The sequence below is a fragment of the Homo sapiens genome, chromosome 12 (genome assembly GCF_000001405.40).
Source record: "Homo sapiens chromosome 12, GRCh38.p14 Primary Assembly".
NCBI classification, from domain to species: domain Eukaryota; kingdom Metazoa; phylum Chordata; class Mammalia; order Primates; family Hominidae; genus Homo; species Homo sapiens.
In genome coordinates, this window is record NC_000012.12 from 100309835 (window position 1) to 100327070 (window position 17236).

Here is a 17236-nt window from a genome sequence, read left to right on the forward strand (position 1 = left end):
GGGGAACAATTATACTGTTTTACATAGCACCTATATTCCCACCAACAGTACACAAAGATTCTAGTTTCTCCATATCCTCACCAGCAGTTATTATTTTTTTCTCTCTCTCTATTTTAATTATCCCATGGTATGTAAAGATGTGGATTTTCTTTTTTCTTTCTCTTTTATTTTGTTTTTTTTTGGAGATGGCGTCTTGCTGTGTTGCCCAGGCTGGAGTTCAGTGGCACAATCTCAGCTCACTACAACCACCACTTCCCAGGTTCAAGTGATTCTTCTGCCTCAGCCTACCGAGTAGCTGGGTCTAGAGGCACGCGCCACCATGCCTGGCTGATTTTTGTGTTTTTAGTATTGACGGGGTTTCCCCATGTTGGCTAGGCTGGTCTCGAACTCCTGACCTGTGATCCGCCTGCCTCGGCCTCCCAAATGGCTGGGATTACAGGCATGAGCCACTGTGCACAGCCTGGATTTTCTCTTTTTTTAAATAGTAGCCATCCTCATGGATGTGAGGTGAGAGCTCACTGTGGTTTTGATTTGCATTTCCCTAATGGTTAGTGACTTCGAGCATCTTTTCATGTGTTTATTGGCCATTCATATGTCTTCTTTGGAATGTATGTTCAAGTCCTGGAAGTCAGTGTGCATTGGCTTGCCAAAAGCTACTCCTTGGAAACAGAAATCTAACCTTTAGTTTTGGTTGACACATTCCGTGGTGATGTCAGGGACAAATATAAAAATTACCAAATATTAATCCACTGTGAGAATAAGTGAACTTCAGTTGAATATTTGAAAACTGAGTATAATGCTATTCAGGAAAACTGAATTTCAATCTGAAGTGTATGTATATAAAAATCTTAATATTCACTGTCTGCAACTCAAGAATAAAAGATTCCCTCACTTTTCAAACTCAGGAACTGAATAAATTTGGACATCAAAGGATTCTTTATCTTTTCTTCTGTTTATATGCATATAGGAAGGAACTTAATAAATAGGTGTACTCTGGTTTTATAACTAGATTTTTCTCACTAATCTTCAGATTGTTCTGGCAATTGACTACATCTGTGTATACTTTGGTATTTATGATGAAATTTGATTTTTAGCTGACACGCAAAACTTTTATTGTGAAGAGTAGCAATAATTATTATTTTTGTGAGACATTTTATTATAATTGAAAGGAGTTTTATTTAGTGTAAAATGTGTTTTTTCCATTTACAGGTTTCTGAAGGATTGTCATTCTTGCATAGCAGTGTGAAAATGGTGCATGGAAATATCACTCCTGAAAATATAATTTTGAATAAAAGTGGAGCCTGGAAAATAATGGGTTTTGATTTTTGTGTATCATCAACCAATCCTTCTGAACAAGAGGTAATGAAAGTTTTAGTCTTCTAATTTTTGAGGCCAGGGAAATTTTGATTGCATCTGGAATGGACTAGAAATAGGCTATGTGGTACAGTGGTATGTTTAGATATACAGCTTTATAGAAAATTTATAGTGTTCATTGCACTTAAGAGTATTCTTCGGCACATTACTACCACAGTAGTTAATGTTATTTGAGAAAAGGATGCCAGAGTTAAATAAATTTAAGAATTATTTGATTAAATAGGGTTTTTTTTTTTCCTCAGGATGTCAAATGCAATAACACATGTGACTCTCTAGCAGTGTTTCCTGTTTATTGGGTCATGGAATATTCTTTAGGGAGCATAATAATAGCAGTGGCAATAGCTAACATTCTTATTGAAGCACTTTTCCACACACTTTCTCTGTACTTATTTAATCCTCACAATAACTCAGTGGGGTATAGGAATAATACAGATAAGTTAAGTAGGCTCAGAGAATAAAAGAACTGCCTAAATTTAGGTAGATGGTAAGTGATAGAGCCAGAATTTGAACGCAGCCTTTCTGCTTCCAAAGCACCTTTTCTTAATGATTAGGATACCTGCCTATTCATACTTAGAGAAACACTGTATTAAATCAATTCTGCCTTGTATTGATTGGGTCTGCATGGCATAGAAGATCCTTGGTGATATGGCACCTTATGATCGTTGGTGATAGGTTTTTCTTATATGTAGTCGTTAGAGGGCCTGTGATTTGACCTAAGATTTGTAAGTTGAGCAGCCAGTTTTAAGGTAATCAGAACTAACTAGTATTGGTTGGATATATATCATGAGTGGGTCAGACACTGCTAGGTCAAACTTCCACACATTTGTTTAATCGTTACTACAATCTTTTGAACTTTTTAACTAAATCACATAGCTAATTAGTGAAAGAACAAATTGCAAACAACAGTCTCTATCTGAGCTCATACAACTTTTGAAGCCTGTGTATCATAAAACATGAGCCAGACCTTCACATGTTCATATTACATATTACAGTGATAATTTGTCTTCCGGAAGAGACTCCAGTAATCTCAGTTGTAACGGTTCTTATTTCTCATTTTGTTGCATGGACTTTTTTACATTTGGGAATTTGGGAATTTTGGGATTGAAGGCGTGATGGCATTTTTACTTGCATGACCGAGTAGAAATTTAAAGATAGATTACTACTGCTTGATAGTTGTTTGGTTGAATTTGAAGTAACCCATGTAATTCCTTTTCTTACTACAGCCTAAATTTCCTTGTAAAGAATGGGACCCAAATTTACCTTCATTGTGTCTTCCAAATCCTGAATATTTGGCTCCTGAATACATACTTTCTGTGAGCTGTGAAACAGCCAGTGATATGTATTCTTTAGGAACTGTTATGTATGCTGTATTTAATAAAGGGAAACCTATATTTGAAGTCAACAAGCAAGATATTTACAAGAGTTTCAGTAGGCAGTTGGATCAGGTATTTGCCTATAAATAATTTGCTTGCATTAAAAAATTTATTAAATGTGTCTTTGATTTTTTTCCAAAATGTGTTCAGGAAATTCTTTAAATGACATGAGTATCTCATTTTAAGTTTGCATAAGATCAGCTTAATAATTTATTATATTTTTATTTTAACAAATTTATAAGTAACGCAGACTAGGCCAGGTGCTCTGGCTCACGCCTGTAATCCCAGCACTTGGGGAGACCCAAGGCGGGTGGATCACTTGAGTCCAGGAGTTCGAGACCAGCCTGGGTAACATGGCCAAACCACTTCTCCACAAAAAAAAAAATACAAAAAGTTAGCTGGGCTTGGTGGCACATGCCTGTAGTCCCAGCTACTTGGAAGGCCGATCAGGGTGGGAGGATCACTTGAGCCTGGGAGTTTGGGGCTGCAGTGAGCTATGATTGTGCCACTGCATGCCAGCCTGGGGTGACAGAGTGAGACCCTGTCTCAAAAAAATATTTTTTTCAAATAAATAAAGAGGACTAGTTAAAATTTGTTACAGAACTTTAGTCATGGCATTTGAGTAAATATAAATACTGGAACATTTTACTGTAGGAATAGAAACAATTTTGGGTATTAAAGATAAGGGTTTTGTTTTGCAACAATAGAATTAACAGTGTGTTTAAAATGTAGTCAGTATATTTGTAGTAAAATATTGAGTAAATTTTTAAATGTTTTCTTAAATGTATATGTCTTTTTAAATATTTTATACTCATTTAATGTTATCACTCTTTTGAATAGTTGAGTCGTTTAGGATCTAGTTCACTTACAAATATACCTGAGGAAGTTCGTGAACATGTAAAGCTACTGTTAAATGTAACTCCGACTGTAAGACCAGATGCAGATCAAATGACAAAGGTGAGTACATGTGGATTTCTGCCTAAGATGGAGGAACAAAAAATGAGTTGAAGTAGATTAAGTTTTTGGGTTTTAAAAAAATATTTTTCCCCAGGGATCCCTGTTCTGAGATTAAGTTCTTCTAAAGCAACAGTCAGATACAGCCCCAAATAACATCTGTATCCTTGAGTGTATTAAATATTCAATTTTGCTTAATCTTACACAGCTAAATATGTACGTAATTGCTCTGATAGAAAATTAAGATTTCAAATAAGCAGAGTGCTAACAGTCACAATTAAGTAAACAGATGTTCTAGACTCTTAGAGAATTCATAGTCCTTTATTTCACTCATATAACCATGGATTTTTTTTTTTTTTTTTTTAGACAGAGTTTCACTCTGTCACCCAGGCTGGAGTGTAGTGGCACGATCTCCACTCAATGCAACCTCCACCTCCCAGGTTCAAGCAATTCTCATGCCTCAGCCTCCCAAGTAATTGGGATTACAGGCCCCCACCACCACACCTGGCTAATTTTTGTATTTTTGGTAGAGACAGTGTTTCACCATTTTGGCTAGGCTGGTCTTGTCCTGACCTCAGGTGATCTGCCTACCTCGGCCTCCCGAAGTGTTGGGATTATAGGCATGAGCCACCGTGCCCGGGCCAACCATGGATTTTAACTAATAACTGGTATTTTTATGCCTTCAAATTATTTTATTTAATCTTTCAATATTTTAGACTTACATAAAAGAAAGTTTTTACCCAGCCAATTCACAGGTACAGATTCCAAAGATTTGAACTTGAAAAATCATTTATTTTCTTATTCAGAGTTTTATAATTAGAATTTCTAAGGTGATCTTCAGCATTTTGCTAAATGTTTCTGAGTATTTTTTTTACCATATTGTGACAGTTTCAGATATGAGAAGTACTTTCAATTTAACATTTATCAAAATACTTTATTTCCATTTTTTTTAGATTCCCTTCTTTGATGATGTTGGTGCAGTAACACTGCAATATTTTGATACCTTATTCCAAAGAGATAATCTTCAGAAATCACAGTTTTTCAAAGGACTGCCAAAGGTTCTACCAAAACTGCCCAAGGTTTGTTATTGTTAGTTTCTTATTAATAATCAGGATTTTAGAAGTTAAAGTTTATTTTGACTTACTACCATAACTCTTCCAAGAAAATAATATAACTTTGCCTGAGGTACATAAATGACTATAAAACACTGCCAACTGAAGCCAAAAGTTCAGTGGACCTTTTTTTGCGTGGTCCAAAAATAAATAGGCTAAAAAATTTAGAAGGATACTAACTAGGCAGAGACAGCAGTTGGATATTAAAGGTCAGAAGAAGAGTCCATAAGCTATCATGTGGAGTTCATTGTCTCACCAGCAGTTAAAGGGGTACTTCTGTTGATGTTAGCCTTTCCAATTCCTTTACTCCTTTTCTGACTTATTAAATGATGAGTGTAATACAGTTTTTAAAATGTTGGTGAATGCTGAAGAGGCACTGGTTGGAATACTAATAATTCCTGGTTGTAAAAACATTTCCAGTGTTTAATCTATCAGATATTCGTTAGTTACCTACTGTTTGTCTGACTCTTTACTTAGATGCTATGGAGAGTAAAGAGGAGGCATAAAATACTGTCCCTGCTCTCAGGCCCTTATAGTAAGTGTAGCTAGGGTTAACGTGTGAAACAGTTAACAGTACATGATAGTGTTTATGTTGTGTGGTATGAATCGTAAGTAATGAAGGAATCAAGAGGAAAAACAAACATAGCGGTGGAGACTAATTAGGGTAAGTTTCCTACAGGTAGGGTGACCGTGTGTCCCCTTTTACCCATGACCTTTCCAGTTTATGCTATTTATCCTTGCATAATTAGCAATAGCATCCCACTTTACTCTGAAAATATACCAGTTTCAACCATAAATTGTATCGTCACGTTACCTAAAGGGATTAGAGGTTTTAGACCTTAGTGTTAACTAATACTAAAAACCTTTAATAAATTTTATTTTTTTTTTAAAAAACATTTTTGCCTTTCAGCGTGTCATTGTGCAGAGAATTTTGCCTTGTTTGACTTCAGAATTTGTAAACCCTGACATGGTACCTTTTGTTTTGCCCAATGTTCTACTTATTGCTGAGGAATGCACCAAAGAAGAATATGTCAAATTAATTCTTCCTGAACTTGGCCCTGTGTTTAAGCAGCAGGAGCCAATCCAGGTATGTTATAGATATTTTTGTGTATTTATCTACTGTTATTTATGATTGTGACTATCACTGAAAACAAAAGGAATGAATATATGACTTAAAAAAAACTGAGGTAAGTGTATGAGACTTTCTTTTCCATTAGTCAGAAAGCTGCTTTACATGTTTGAACCAAACTATTTTTAAAATTATGATTGAACTTTGCAGTTAAATGTCTGTAGCTCTCCATAAGTTACTATCTCAGAAGATAAACTGCAATGAAATTTTGCATGTGTTATACTGTTCTTTATGTACCATATATATACTTTGTAGAAAGTTACAGGTTTAGGAAAATAAATACTTGTTTTTCTCTTGCACTTTGAAGTATTTGAAGTATTTTTGATTATTTTGTTATTTAAGTCTTTAATATGTAGGTGCTTTGTGCCAGTTGTTTCTCTCCATTTTATTGCTAATAACTACTTCCACTAGAATAGGAAAATGCTTACAGCACCATGGGAATAATGTGTATATGTATTGTAAGTGAAAAAAGTAATCAGTCTCTCATGTATATAATATATATTTGCTAGATTGAAGGTAATGTTGGATTTAAGAGCAGTAGAGTCACACACCTGGGTTGAATTGGGGCTTCTTTATCTCCTTACTTGAAGTATGACTTGTGTCGTTGCCATCTTAAAGCTTCTATTTCCTCATTTCTAAAATGAAAAGGATTGTTGAGATTAAATGAAATTTTCTGGCACATAGCAGGTATTATTACATGTTTGTAGCATTGTATAGGAATAGCTTATTAGTTATATATCAACTATCTAATTTAATGGTTTTATGATTCTTTGTAGTCCTTCCCTTGAAAGGAGGGGAACAGAAGGAAGTATGTGGTGGTAAGGTGAGAATTTCTGTGAATTAGGGAAAGAACAAGTGAGGGAGCTGTAGCCTGTGAAGCAGGGTTCCCCCAAATGGTCAAGGTGTCATGAGGGAAAGTTGGTGGAGCCACTGTTCCCTAAGCTATGCATCAGTCAAGATAGTACCCTAAGGATCCTATAATCTGAATTCTTATTTGCCTCCATTCTTTTTTCTCTTAGTTGTCCAGTTAAAAATACCTTTTGGGCCAGGTGCAGTGGCTCACGCTTGTAATCCCAGTTCTTTGTCGTGTCAAAGCAGGCAGATTGCTTGAGCCCAGGAGTTCAAGACCAGCCTGGGCAACATGGTGAAACCCTGTCTCTTCAAACAAATACAAAAATAAGCCAGGTGCCTGCCTGTGGTCCCAGCTACTCAGGAGGCTGAGGTGGGAGGATCACCTGAGCCCTGGGAGGTCGAGGCTGCGGTAAGCTATGATCGCGCCACTGCGCTCCAGCCTGGGTGACAGAGTGAGTGAGGCCCTGTCTCAAAAAAAAAAAAAAAGAAAAAATTTCTTCCGAATATTCTTCCCTGAGTCTTGGCAAAACTAATTTCTGTATAAATAGAAGGGGCAGTATGTTCCTTATAATTTAGGTATGTGGAAGAATGACCAGGGACAACTTAAAAACATTTTTTTCTAAAATAAAAAAAATTTTTTTAAGAGATAGGGTCTTGCTATGTTGCCTTGGCTGGACTTAACTTCTGGGCTCAAGCAATTCCCCTGTTTCAGCCGCCCAAATAGCTGGGACTGCAGGTGTGTGCCACTGCACCTGGCGTCTAGAATTTTTTCTTATACTCCCTCTCAGTTCTGTACTTTCTTTTTCTCTTGAGCTTCATAGAAGCCAAGTGATGGACTTTACTTCTTTGGGATATCTCACTTTACTGGCTTTTTTCACCCTGTAGCTTTCCAGATAGTTGGTATGTGTGGGCAAGTGATAGATTACTGTAGATATGTGAGAGGAGATTAGTCTTTATTTAATTAACATTTAAACTCAGAGCAGATGTTAAATATTGTGCCTCCAGAAATGTAAGAGACTTGATTTGTGTGTTTTTGTCTTCCACGCATTCAGGCTAGCAACATGGTGAGTGTCAAAATATATGAGTTATTCTTTTGAAGAAGCTTTACATTTGGCATATATTGAATCTTTTAAAGATTCCAGGTTTTAATACATTGTTTCCGTTTTCTAAACAGATTTTGTTAATTTTCCTACAAAAAATGGATTTGCTACTAACCAAAACCCCTCCTGATGAGATAAAGAACAGTGTTCTACCCATGGTTTACAGAGCACTAGAAGCTCCTTCCATTCAGATCCAGGTACAGTATCTGATTTGTTTTTCTTTAATGATGATTTTGATTCTTAAAGCAGAAGAAGAGGTATAAAGTACATTTTGGATTTAAGTCATAAAATACATAACTCAATAGTAAATATATTTATCTTTTGAATCACATTATTGATATACTGTAACTAAAATATATTCACTCCTAACTAATTTAAAGAATCAGTGTATTGTAAGTGAAAAAAGTAATCAGTCTGTGTACATAATACCTGCATTATGAGGTAGATTTGTTGCTTTTATTTATCAGAAATGTACTATTATGGAAGAAGATTTGATATGTTGTAGTTTGTATTATTGTATACCTTCATCTTTCTGCTTCTTTCTAAACTGATAATTATGAACAAAAATTCCGAAGATGCATGTGCCTTTTTCTTTTCTTTCTTTTTTTTTTTTTTTTTTTGAGACTGAGTCTTGCTCTGTCGCCCAGGCTGGAGTGCAGTAGCACAATCTCGGCTCACTGCAACCTCCGCCTCCTGGGTTCAAGCAATTCTCCTGCCTCAGCCTCCCTAGTAGCTGGAACTACAGGTGCCTGTCACCACACCCGGCTAATTTTTGGTATTTTTAGTAGAGACAGGGTTTCGCCATTTTGGCCAGGCTGGTCTCGAACTCCTGACCTCAGGTGGTCCTCGTGCCTCAGCCTCCCAAAGTACTGGGATTATAAGCCTGAGCCATTGGGCGTGGCCACGTGTGCCTTTTTCTCATGAAAACATTGAGTAGGTATTTTCCCATACTCATAATTTTCCTTCTTGCTTGGTAACTCAGTTTTCTATGTAGAGATGCTGTTTCTTCTGCAATGAAGTTAATTTGTACAGCAGGTAGATGGAAAAGCAGACAGTAATTTAGTGTGACCATTCTTAATGCATGTATAGTTATAACTTTTGTTCCACAAAGGCCATCTTAAAACACCATATACTTTGCCAGACTGTTAGTTTTGTAGTCTTTGCGATTAAAATTTTGGTTCTATGAGTTCTTTGTCTGAAAGAAATTCTGGATCACTATTAAAAGTGTAATTTAGTTTTTTCACTTTGAAAATACATACTTATGTTAAGAACATCTCACTGCAGGATGGTTTTGTAGTAAAAGCTTATAGTCTCTGCTAGTATAAACATTTTAATAAAATAGGATTTTTTTAAGTTATTTACTCTAAAGTTAATATGAACCTAATACTACATATTTAAGGTCACTTTTTGGACTTAATTCAGTCTTTGTCTGCTAAGTTATTTCGTTTGTTCAAGGCTGTGAGGTTGATGTTAACATTTTTTTCCTTATAATTAGATTTGCCTTCTTAAAGGTGAGGGTATGCTGCCTTTGTCCAAATGACATGGATGAGTGGGGAAGGTGTGTCTACCTCTATTTCTTAGTTCTTTTTAAAGAAATTGTGAATTATAGCCTCACAAAACATTCCCACAGGCTCTGTGCAGCCAAACTTGTTTTATATTTAGTGATATTAAAGAAGAGGGAGGGGAAGATTAAGTGACATGAAATCCATTTTTCTTTATAGTTAATTTGACCAATAAGTGTCAGCAAGTATTTTATTGAAGTAGTATATAATTCAGATTGACTTTTGTAACTTTGCTAAGATTTGGAAACCAGCATTTCTTCCTTTGTTTTTCCAGGCTGGAGTGCAGTGGCGCAATCTTGGCTCACTGCAACCTCCGCCTCCTGGGTTCAAGCAGTTCTCGTGTCTCAGCCTCCCAGGTACCTGGGATTGCATGCATGGGCGACCATGCCTGGCTAATTTTTTTTGTATTTTTAGTAGAGACGGGGTTTCACCATGTTGGCCAGGTTGGGGAAACCAGCATTTCTGGTATCATTCAGTGTAAGTCTTTAGTCATGAAATTAGCACTGCTTAGTTGATAAAGCATATCTAAACAATTAGGAGAATCCTAGAGAAAGCAAGAAATAAGAAATCTTTTCCTCCAGGTTCTTGCAAATAGTAGGCTAGAAAGTAACATCTGAAATTCATTTTTAAATTGAAATTTTTAAAGCTAAGTTTGATTAGAAATATTTAAGAGGCTACAGATGGTTCTGAAAACATTTGGACGGGTAGAAGATGGTTTGCAAAAGGTAGGATTCTTAAAAAGAGGCATTATAAACGTGTATCAGACACAATTTTTGAAAATTAATTTACCTTTTAAATGGATATCGAAATTATCTTCATCACCGCCACCCACCACCCATTATAAAGTGTAAAATAAACAGAAGTTTCTGAGAGTTTGCTAATTAGACTCCTTTGAGGTTTGATTTTGTGTTTTGCAATCTCCTGTTATTAAAATAGTTCCTCATCCCGGCTGTTATTAAGTTCCTCATCCCGGGCTGGGTGCGGTGGCTCATGCCTGTAATCCCAGTGCTTTAGGAGGCCAAGGCAGGCGGATCACCTGAGGTCAGGAGTTCAAGACCAGCCTGGCCAACATGGCGAAACCCCGTCTCTACTAAAAAAATACAAAAATTAGCTGGGTGTGGTGGCGGGTACCTGTAATCCCAGCTACTCAGGAGGCTGAGGCAGGGAGAATGGCTTGAACCCGGGAGGCGGAGGATGCAGTGAGCTGAGATCGTGCCACTGCACTCCAGCCTGGGCGACAGAGTGAGACTCCGTCTCAAAAATAAATAAATAAATAAATAAATAAATAAATAAATAAATAAATAAAGTTCCTCATCCTGTCTCCTCTTCGGGAGAGAGCTCTCCCTATGTTAGCTAAGTGATTTAGACAGAATTTAAGATTTGCCTCTTTGTAACCTCCTGCTATGACTTTGATTGGACAGCATGGCACTTTCCAGTCGCTTTTTAATAATACAGGTGTTAGGGGGTCCTTTCCTGTAAGTCTGCCTATCTCTGTCTCTCTGTCTTAAAGCCTGATCTTCTGTAAGGAAGCTCCTTACGGGAACATAGGAACATAGTGTCCCACTGACTGCTTACACTTGCCCATTCTCTTCTCCCATCTGTGGTCCTTAATTAATTAATTAATTTATATATTTTTGAGACAGGCTTTCACTCTGTTGCCCAGGCTTGAGTGCAGTGGCCCAGGCTTGAGTGCAGTGGCACAATCTTAGCTCACTGTGGCCTTGACCTCCCACGCTCTCTCAGGCTCAAGTGATCCTCCCTCAGCCTCCATAGTAGCAGGGACCACAGGAACATACACCACCATGCCTGGCTCATTTTTAAATTTTATCAATCACTTAATTATTAATAGTTCTGAGTGGATACAAACAATTAACTCTCTTACATTTGCCTTTTGGAAGCCTAAGAATAAGTTAAAGCAAATAAAATATATCCAGTGTTCTGATAACAGATTCTTAGTAGTTAATTTATTTCTGTCTTCTAACTATAAATGGATGTCTTGAAGTTTGCCAGTATTTTCAGTAGTATCCTTCCTAATTCACATTTGTGCTTCCGTTTTCCTCAGTGATCCCTTCTCTTATGCTTTGCTACAAGGATCATCTCTCATAAACTGCCTGAGATGTGTGTACTTTAGCCAGTTAGTTCTCAAGCCATTTCTTCTTTTCATTTTCTCATTTAGTTCCCTAGCCCCCAGTCATCCCTCTGTTTTCCTGTTATTCCCAGAATTTGCCAGTTATCATTTCTACTATGGCACCACATTAGTTAACAAGAATGTTTTAAATCTTTTTTTCCCCCATTTCTGAGTTATGCTTGCTTTAAGTTTCAGAATTTGGAAGTACTTACAAATAACAAAAAAAAGAAATTAAAATTCGCTCTCACAGATGACGATGGTTAACATTTTCATATATATCCTTCTAGTCTTTTTTCCTAAACCTATGGATAGACACAGGTACCTACACATTTTAGAACTTGGGATTAGGTGCGGTAGCTCACACCTGTAATTTGAGCACTTTGGAAGACTGAGGTGGGAGGATCTCTTGAAGCCAGGAGTTTGAGACCTGCCTGGGCAACATAGTAAGACCCTGTCTGTACCAAAAATAAAAGATGATAAAATTAACCAGGCATGGCAGTGCATGCCTGTAGTGCCAGCTACTTGGGAGGCTGAGTTGGGGAGGAGGATCACTTGAGCCCAGGATGCTACAGTGAGCTATGAATTTGCCACTGCACTCCACCCTGGGTGACAGAGCAAGACTCTCCAAAAAAAAAAAAAAAAGAAAAAAAAACCCAAGAAAACTAAAAAAAGGGCCGGGCGCGGTGGCTCACGCCTGTAATCCCAGCACTTTGGGAGGCCGAGGCGGGCAGATCACGAGGTCAGGAGATCGAGACCATCCTGGCTAACACAGTGAAACCCCGTCTCTACTAAAAAATACAAAAAATTAGCCGGGCGTGGTGGCGGGCGCCTGTAGTCCCAGCTACGCGGGAGGCTGAGGCAGGAGAATGGCGTGAACCCGGGAGGCGGAGCTTGCAGTGAGCCGAGATCGCGCCACTGCACTCCAGCCTGGGCGACAGAGCGAGACTCCGTCTCAAAAAAAAAAAAAAAAAAAAAGAAAACTAAAAAAAAAAGAATTGGGATTATGTAATACTCTGTCCTCAATTTTCTTCTAAAAATTATTAAACACTCTTTTAAGGCTGGTCTCAGTGGTTCATGCCTATAATCTTAGCACTTTGAGAGGCCAAGGTGAGAGGATTGCTTGAGCTCAGGAATTCGAGACCAGCCTGGGAAACATAGTGAGACCTTGTCTTTACAAAAAATTGAAAAATTAGCTGGGCATGGGCCAAGGTAGGTGGATCACCTGAGGTCAGGAGTTTGAGACCAGCCTGGCCAGTATGGTGAAACCCCATCTCTACTAAAAATACAAAATATTAGCTGGGTGTGTTGGCATGTGCCTGTAATCCCAACTACTGGATAGGCTGAGGCAGGAGAATTGCTTGAACCCGGGAGGCGGAGGATTCTGTGAGCCAAGGTCATGTCACTACACTCCAGCCTGGGCAACAAGAGCAAAACTCCGTCTCAAAAAAAAAAAAAAAAAATTAGCTGGGCATGATGGCGTGTACCTGTAGTCCCAGCTACTCAGGAGGCTGAGGCCAGAGGATCCCACAAGACTGGGAGGTTGATGCTGCAGTGAGCTATGATTGCGTCACTGCACTCCAGCCTGGGTGACAGAGCAAGGTCCTGTCTCAAGAAAAAAAAAAAAAAAAAAATTAAACACTCCTTTCGGTATGTTGTTTTAAAAAACTGTTGTATGTTATCATATGGATATATGTAACAGCTAAGAGAATTACTTGAGAGGAGTATTTTTACATGATTTCATACTTGATTTTCCCTTCTTCTGAGAGATAGCAAAACTTATGTGTTGTTATTTAAAGATAAACGAGGACTTGTGTTATCAAAGAAAGAGATTAGGAATGAGATCAGGGAGTTTGGATGTCATACACTAGTTATTATGACCTAGTATGACTTTGAGTAATGTCTTCTGAGCTTTTTTTCTCATCTGTAAGACTGAAAAGTGATTATAACCATTCATTTTTCAAAGAGTTGTTGAAAGGACCAAATAATATATATGAAAATTTGTTTCAAACTATATGACAGTTTAGCCATGCAAATGCAAAACTTTGTAATATCAGAGAGAAAAGATGAGTCTTTCCCTAATATTGATTCAGTTTATTTTCTTTATAGGAGCTCTGTCTAAACATCATTCCAACCTTTGCAAATCTTATAGACTACCCATCCATGAAAAACGCTTTGATACCAAGAATTAAAAATGCTTGTCTACAAACATCTTCCCTTGCGGTAAGTAATTGCATATTAATTTTTGTTTTTCTTTTCACTTGTCAGTGCTTTAAATCATTTTCTTATTGTTTAATAACCCTTTTATAGATTGTTGATGTATTTCATCTTGGCTGTAGATAACTTGTATATAGTACTATAAAAATGAGCTGTAGTTTTCTTTGATACATAATTTATAATATTGCATTCCTAACCTTACTTGCTGTCCCTTTACTTTGAGTGCTTCAGTAAAAAAGTTGGGTGATTATTTTTTTCTTAATCCTTTTCTGCTTTAACTGAATTTATTTTGTTGTTAGTTTAAAAATATTATGAGAGTTTAACTTGGTATCTAAGCGTAAAAACTTGTTGAAAAGTTTCCTTTTATAAATAGCCTTTATTTTTAGTTATTGGTCTCTAAATGTCTTATTTCTCACTGACTTGCCCACTTCTTAAAAAAGTAGAGTACAAGAAAGCAATAAATTAATGTGAATACAAGTAGGATAAATAGTTGTGCTAAAAAATGTAGACCAAGGAAATAGTTACCTTCTTTGAATACAAAATTTTAACATTCAGTTACTTGTTAGTCAAGGAAGGTAGAATTAATAACAAAGTTTTCATTATCTCATATTGAAAGCAATAAATGTCCCCAGCCTTTTCTCTAACACTAAATATAATAGTTTATCACATTTATATTTCTTTATAGAAGTAATATTGAATGCTGTCTTCAAAATAGCAGCTTTAAAGAGGGAGAAATGTTCTCTTTTGCCTGACCAGTTCTTGATATTGATTTTTGATAACGGACATATTATTAAATTTGCATTTTGTAAAACTAGTTCTCTGGAGATCCCGTCTTTATCTGGTGGAATGTGAATTTAAATAAAAATAAACAGCTTAATAAAATTATAAGCAAAAGTAATTTGAATGATATGATTTTATCTTATAGCCATTGAATCTATTTTAGTTCATTTCTTGGTTGAAAGGCTTTGAAATGGAAAATGTAACACCAAAGTAGAAAAAGAAATCATTACTGAAACAAACAAGTATGAAATGAAATAAAGTCAAGTTTTAGTTCTTATTCTCACTTTGTTACTAACAACCCCTGTGACCTTGAAAAGTCACTGTGCCTCTCTGAGTCTTCACTATCATTAAAAGTAGCTGTTTTCTCTAAAATTCTCAATTTTACAATTGAATTTTTAAAATAGATGGTAGTAATATACAGCTTAAAATTTAGTTTTCAAAATGCCCTTTTAAAGATCTTACAATCATACTATGTACCTTATTTTATGGCAGCATAAATTTATATTAACATACATTTTCTCAAAGTACATGTTGTAGGCCGGGCATGGTGGCTCACACCTTTAATCCCAACACTTTGGGAGGCTGAGGCGAGTGGATCTCGAGCACTGAGTTCAAGACGAGCATGAGCAACACAGCGAGACCTCGTCTCTACTAAAAATAAAAAAATTTAGCTGGATGTGGTGGCATGGTGGGAGCATCACTTGAGACCAAGAGGTCGAGGCTGCAGTGAGTTGTGATTGTGCTGCTCCTTCCAGTCTAGGTGACAGAGCAAGCCCCCGCCGCTCCCCACCCCGCCCAAAAAAAATCCAAAACCAAAGCAAAGCGAGTACCTGTTCTAGTTCAGTTCTGAGCATATGTAGGGGTATGTAGAAATGGGAAACATGGATACTTAAATGATGTGAATTGCTGCCCAGTTATATGTATGTTTCTTTTTAAGATGCCAACTGGCCGTTAAGGCATGTTGTTTACAAGAAGTTATAATGAATGTATTTATATTTAGAACAGTAACTAGGAATGGATTTACATTTTATATGTCACCTTTTAAGTGGATTTTAGATAGTACTTTCAGTGCTTCTGCCTACCTTCAGAGTGGCAAATAGGAATTCCCAAATTGTATTCATAGTCCTCTATCTCTAAAAGTTTAAAATTCTGACTAGGAAATTCCTGAGTCGTGAGTTAGTATTGTGTCTTAATACTCTTCCCTGAAAATAAAATTTTTAAAAATTCTACACAGAGTTAGGTAAAATCCTCCAAGAGCTATATTTATTCATTACTTACATGACTAATATTTTATATATCCTAAAAGTAAATAAAATTAGTATTCTCGGTTTTGCTTAAAATATATATATATCTCAGTAGAATGCAGCTGTTCCTTTTATAAAACGAATTATGAGTACAAGTTAAGCGTTCAGATACCTTTTTGAATTTATAATATCTCTTGTGTTTTAATTTCAGAAAACAATTGTACATTGTTTTTTAGAAATGGAAATTTTTCCCCATTTTTCCTGTAGAACTATGGTGCTTTATTAGCCAACAAAATTATTTTCTGCCTTTGTTGGTTTACTGTTTTTTGAAAACTGGAGTTTTATTAATACTATAGTCCTGACTTAAAGATATTCTATCTTAAGAAATTCCAAATAGAAGTAGGGTATGATGTATTTATCAAATAGTCAAGTGCATATGGAATTTTGATAAAAGCTTCTAAATAAGAGGTCTTAATAACTGTATATTTGGAAATAGAAAACACATATATGGATACCTTCACATGTTAAAATATTTAGTTTAAAAATGAATTGAACCCAAGTTAGAGTAAAATACTGGAATGTGGGTGAAAATGATCACTTGGTGCAAAGAATGTAGTCCTTTTTATTATTCAAATGTCCCCAAAGGAGTGTTCTTATGATAGTAACACATAATGTAGTAAAAGTTTCTCAAATTCTAATCACTTTAAAATGCTACAAGATTGTAGTCATTCCTTGACTTTAGCTCACTAGTGACCTGGTGAAGCAATCATAAATTCTTTGTGAAACAAGCCAGGAAAATTAGTAAATAAGTGAATTTCCTATGTTGATAAAGGATGAGAGCTTCTAAATCTACATTTATTCTTGAGACTTTAACATATTTATATGAAGATTAAGTTTACACTTAAATATTTTGTTCTAGATTTTGAAAACTTTTAATGACTAATGCAATTTACCTCTTTTAATAGGTTCGTGTAAATTCATTAGTGTGCTTAGGAAAGATTTTGGAATACTTGGATAAGTGGTTTGTACTTGATGATATCCTACCCTTCTTACAACAAATTCCATCCAAGGAACCTGCGGTCCTCATGGGAATTTTAGGTAGCTGAAAATTTAATGTCATTTGATGCTATTTTATCATGCAAATAAATTTTCCAATCTATAAAACAATTATACTCTCCTTTCGTGTATATAGCATTTCATAATTGAAGAATGATGTGATAAATACCATAATATAACTTTTCTCTTTAAGTTTAGCAAAAGCAGTAGAATCTTGACATTTATAAAGGAATAAGATATTTAAGAATTCTAGCTTTACGAATATCATGATAGCATGTAGTTTTCCCCATAAAATGGTACAAAGTGAGAGAGGCAAACAAAGCTACTGGAAATGCTGATACTGGTCTTAGTAGTAATA

General features: G+C 36.2%; 1 protein-coding gene across 5 annotated transcripts in view; it reads left to right on the forward strand.

Annotated features, from left to right (window-relative positions):
• The window catches only part of SCYL2 (SCY1 like pseudokinase 2), a 74539-nt gene that overhangs the window by 42658 nt on the left and 14645 nt on the right, over positions 1-17236 (forward strand). For 3 of the 5 annotated variants that reach the window (NM_001330253.2, NM_001330256.2, NM_001330254.2), the window contains 9 exons: positions 1210-1359; positions 2598-2819; positions 3588-3704; positions 4655-4780; positions 5724-5900; positions 7847-7858; positions 7969-8091; positions 13691-13804; positions 16788-16920. In NM_001330253.2, the coding sequence (NP_001317182.1) occupies positions 1210-1359; positions 2598-2819; positions 3588-3704; positions 4655-4780; positions 5724-5900; positions 7847-7858; positions 7969-8091; positions 13691-13804; positions 16788-16920 (1174 nt within the window). The remainder of the gene's footprint in view (positions 1-1209; positions 1360-2597; positions 2820-3587; positions 3705-4654; positions 4781-5723; positions 5901-7846; positions 7859-7968; positions 8092-13690; positions 13805-16787; positions 16921-17236) is intronic. The other 2 variants (NM_017988.6, NM_001317784.2) reach the window with 1 other exon arrangement.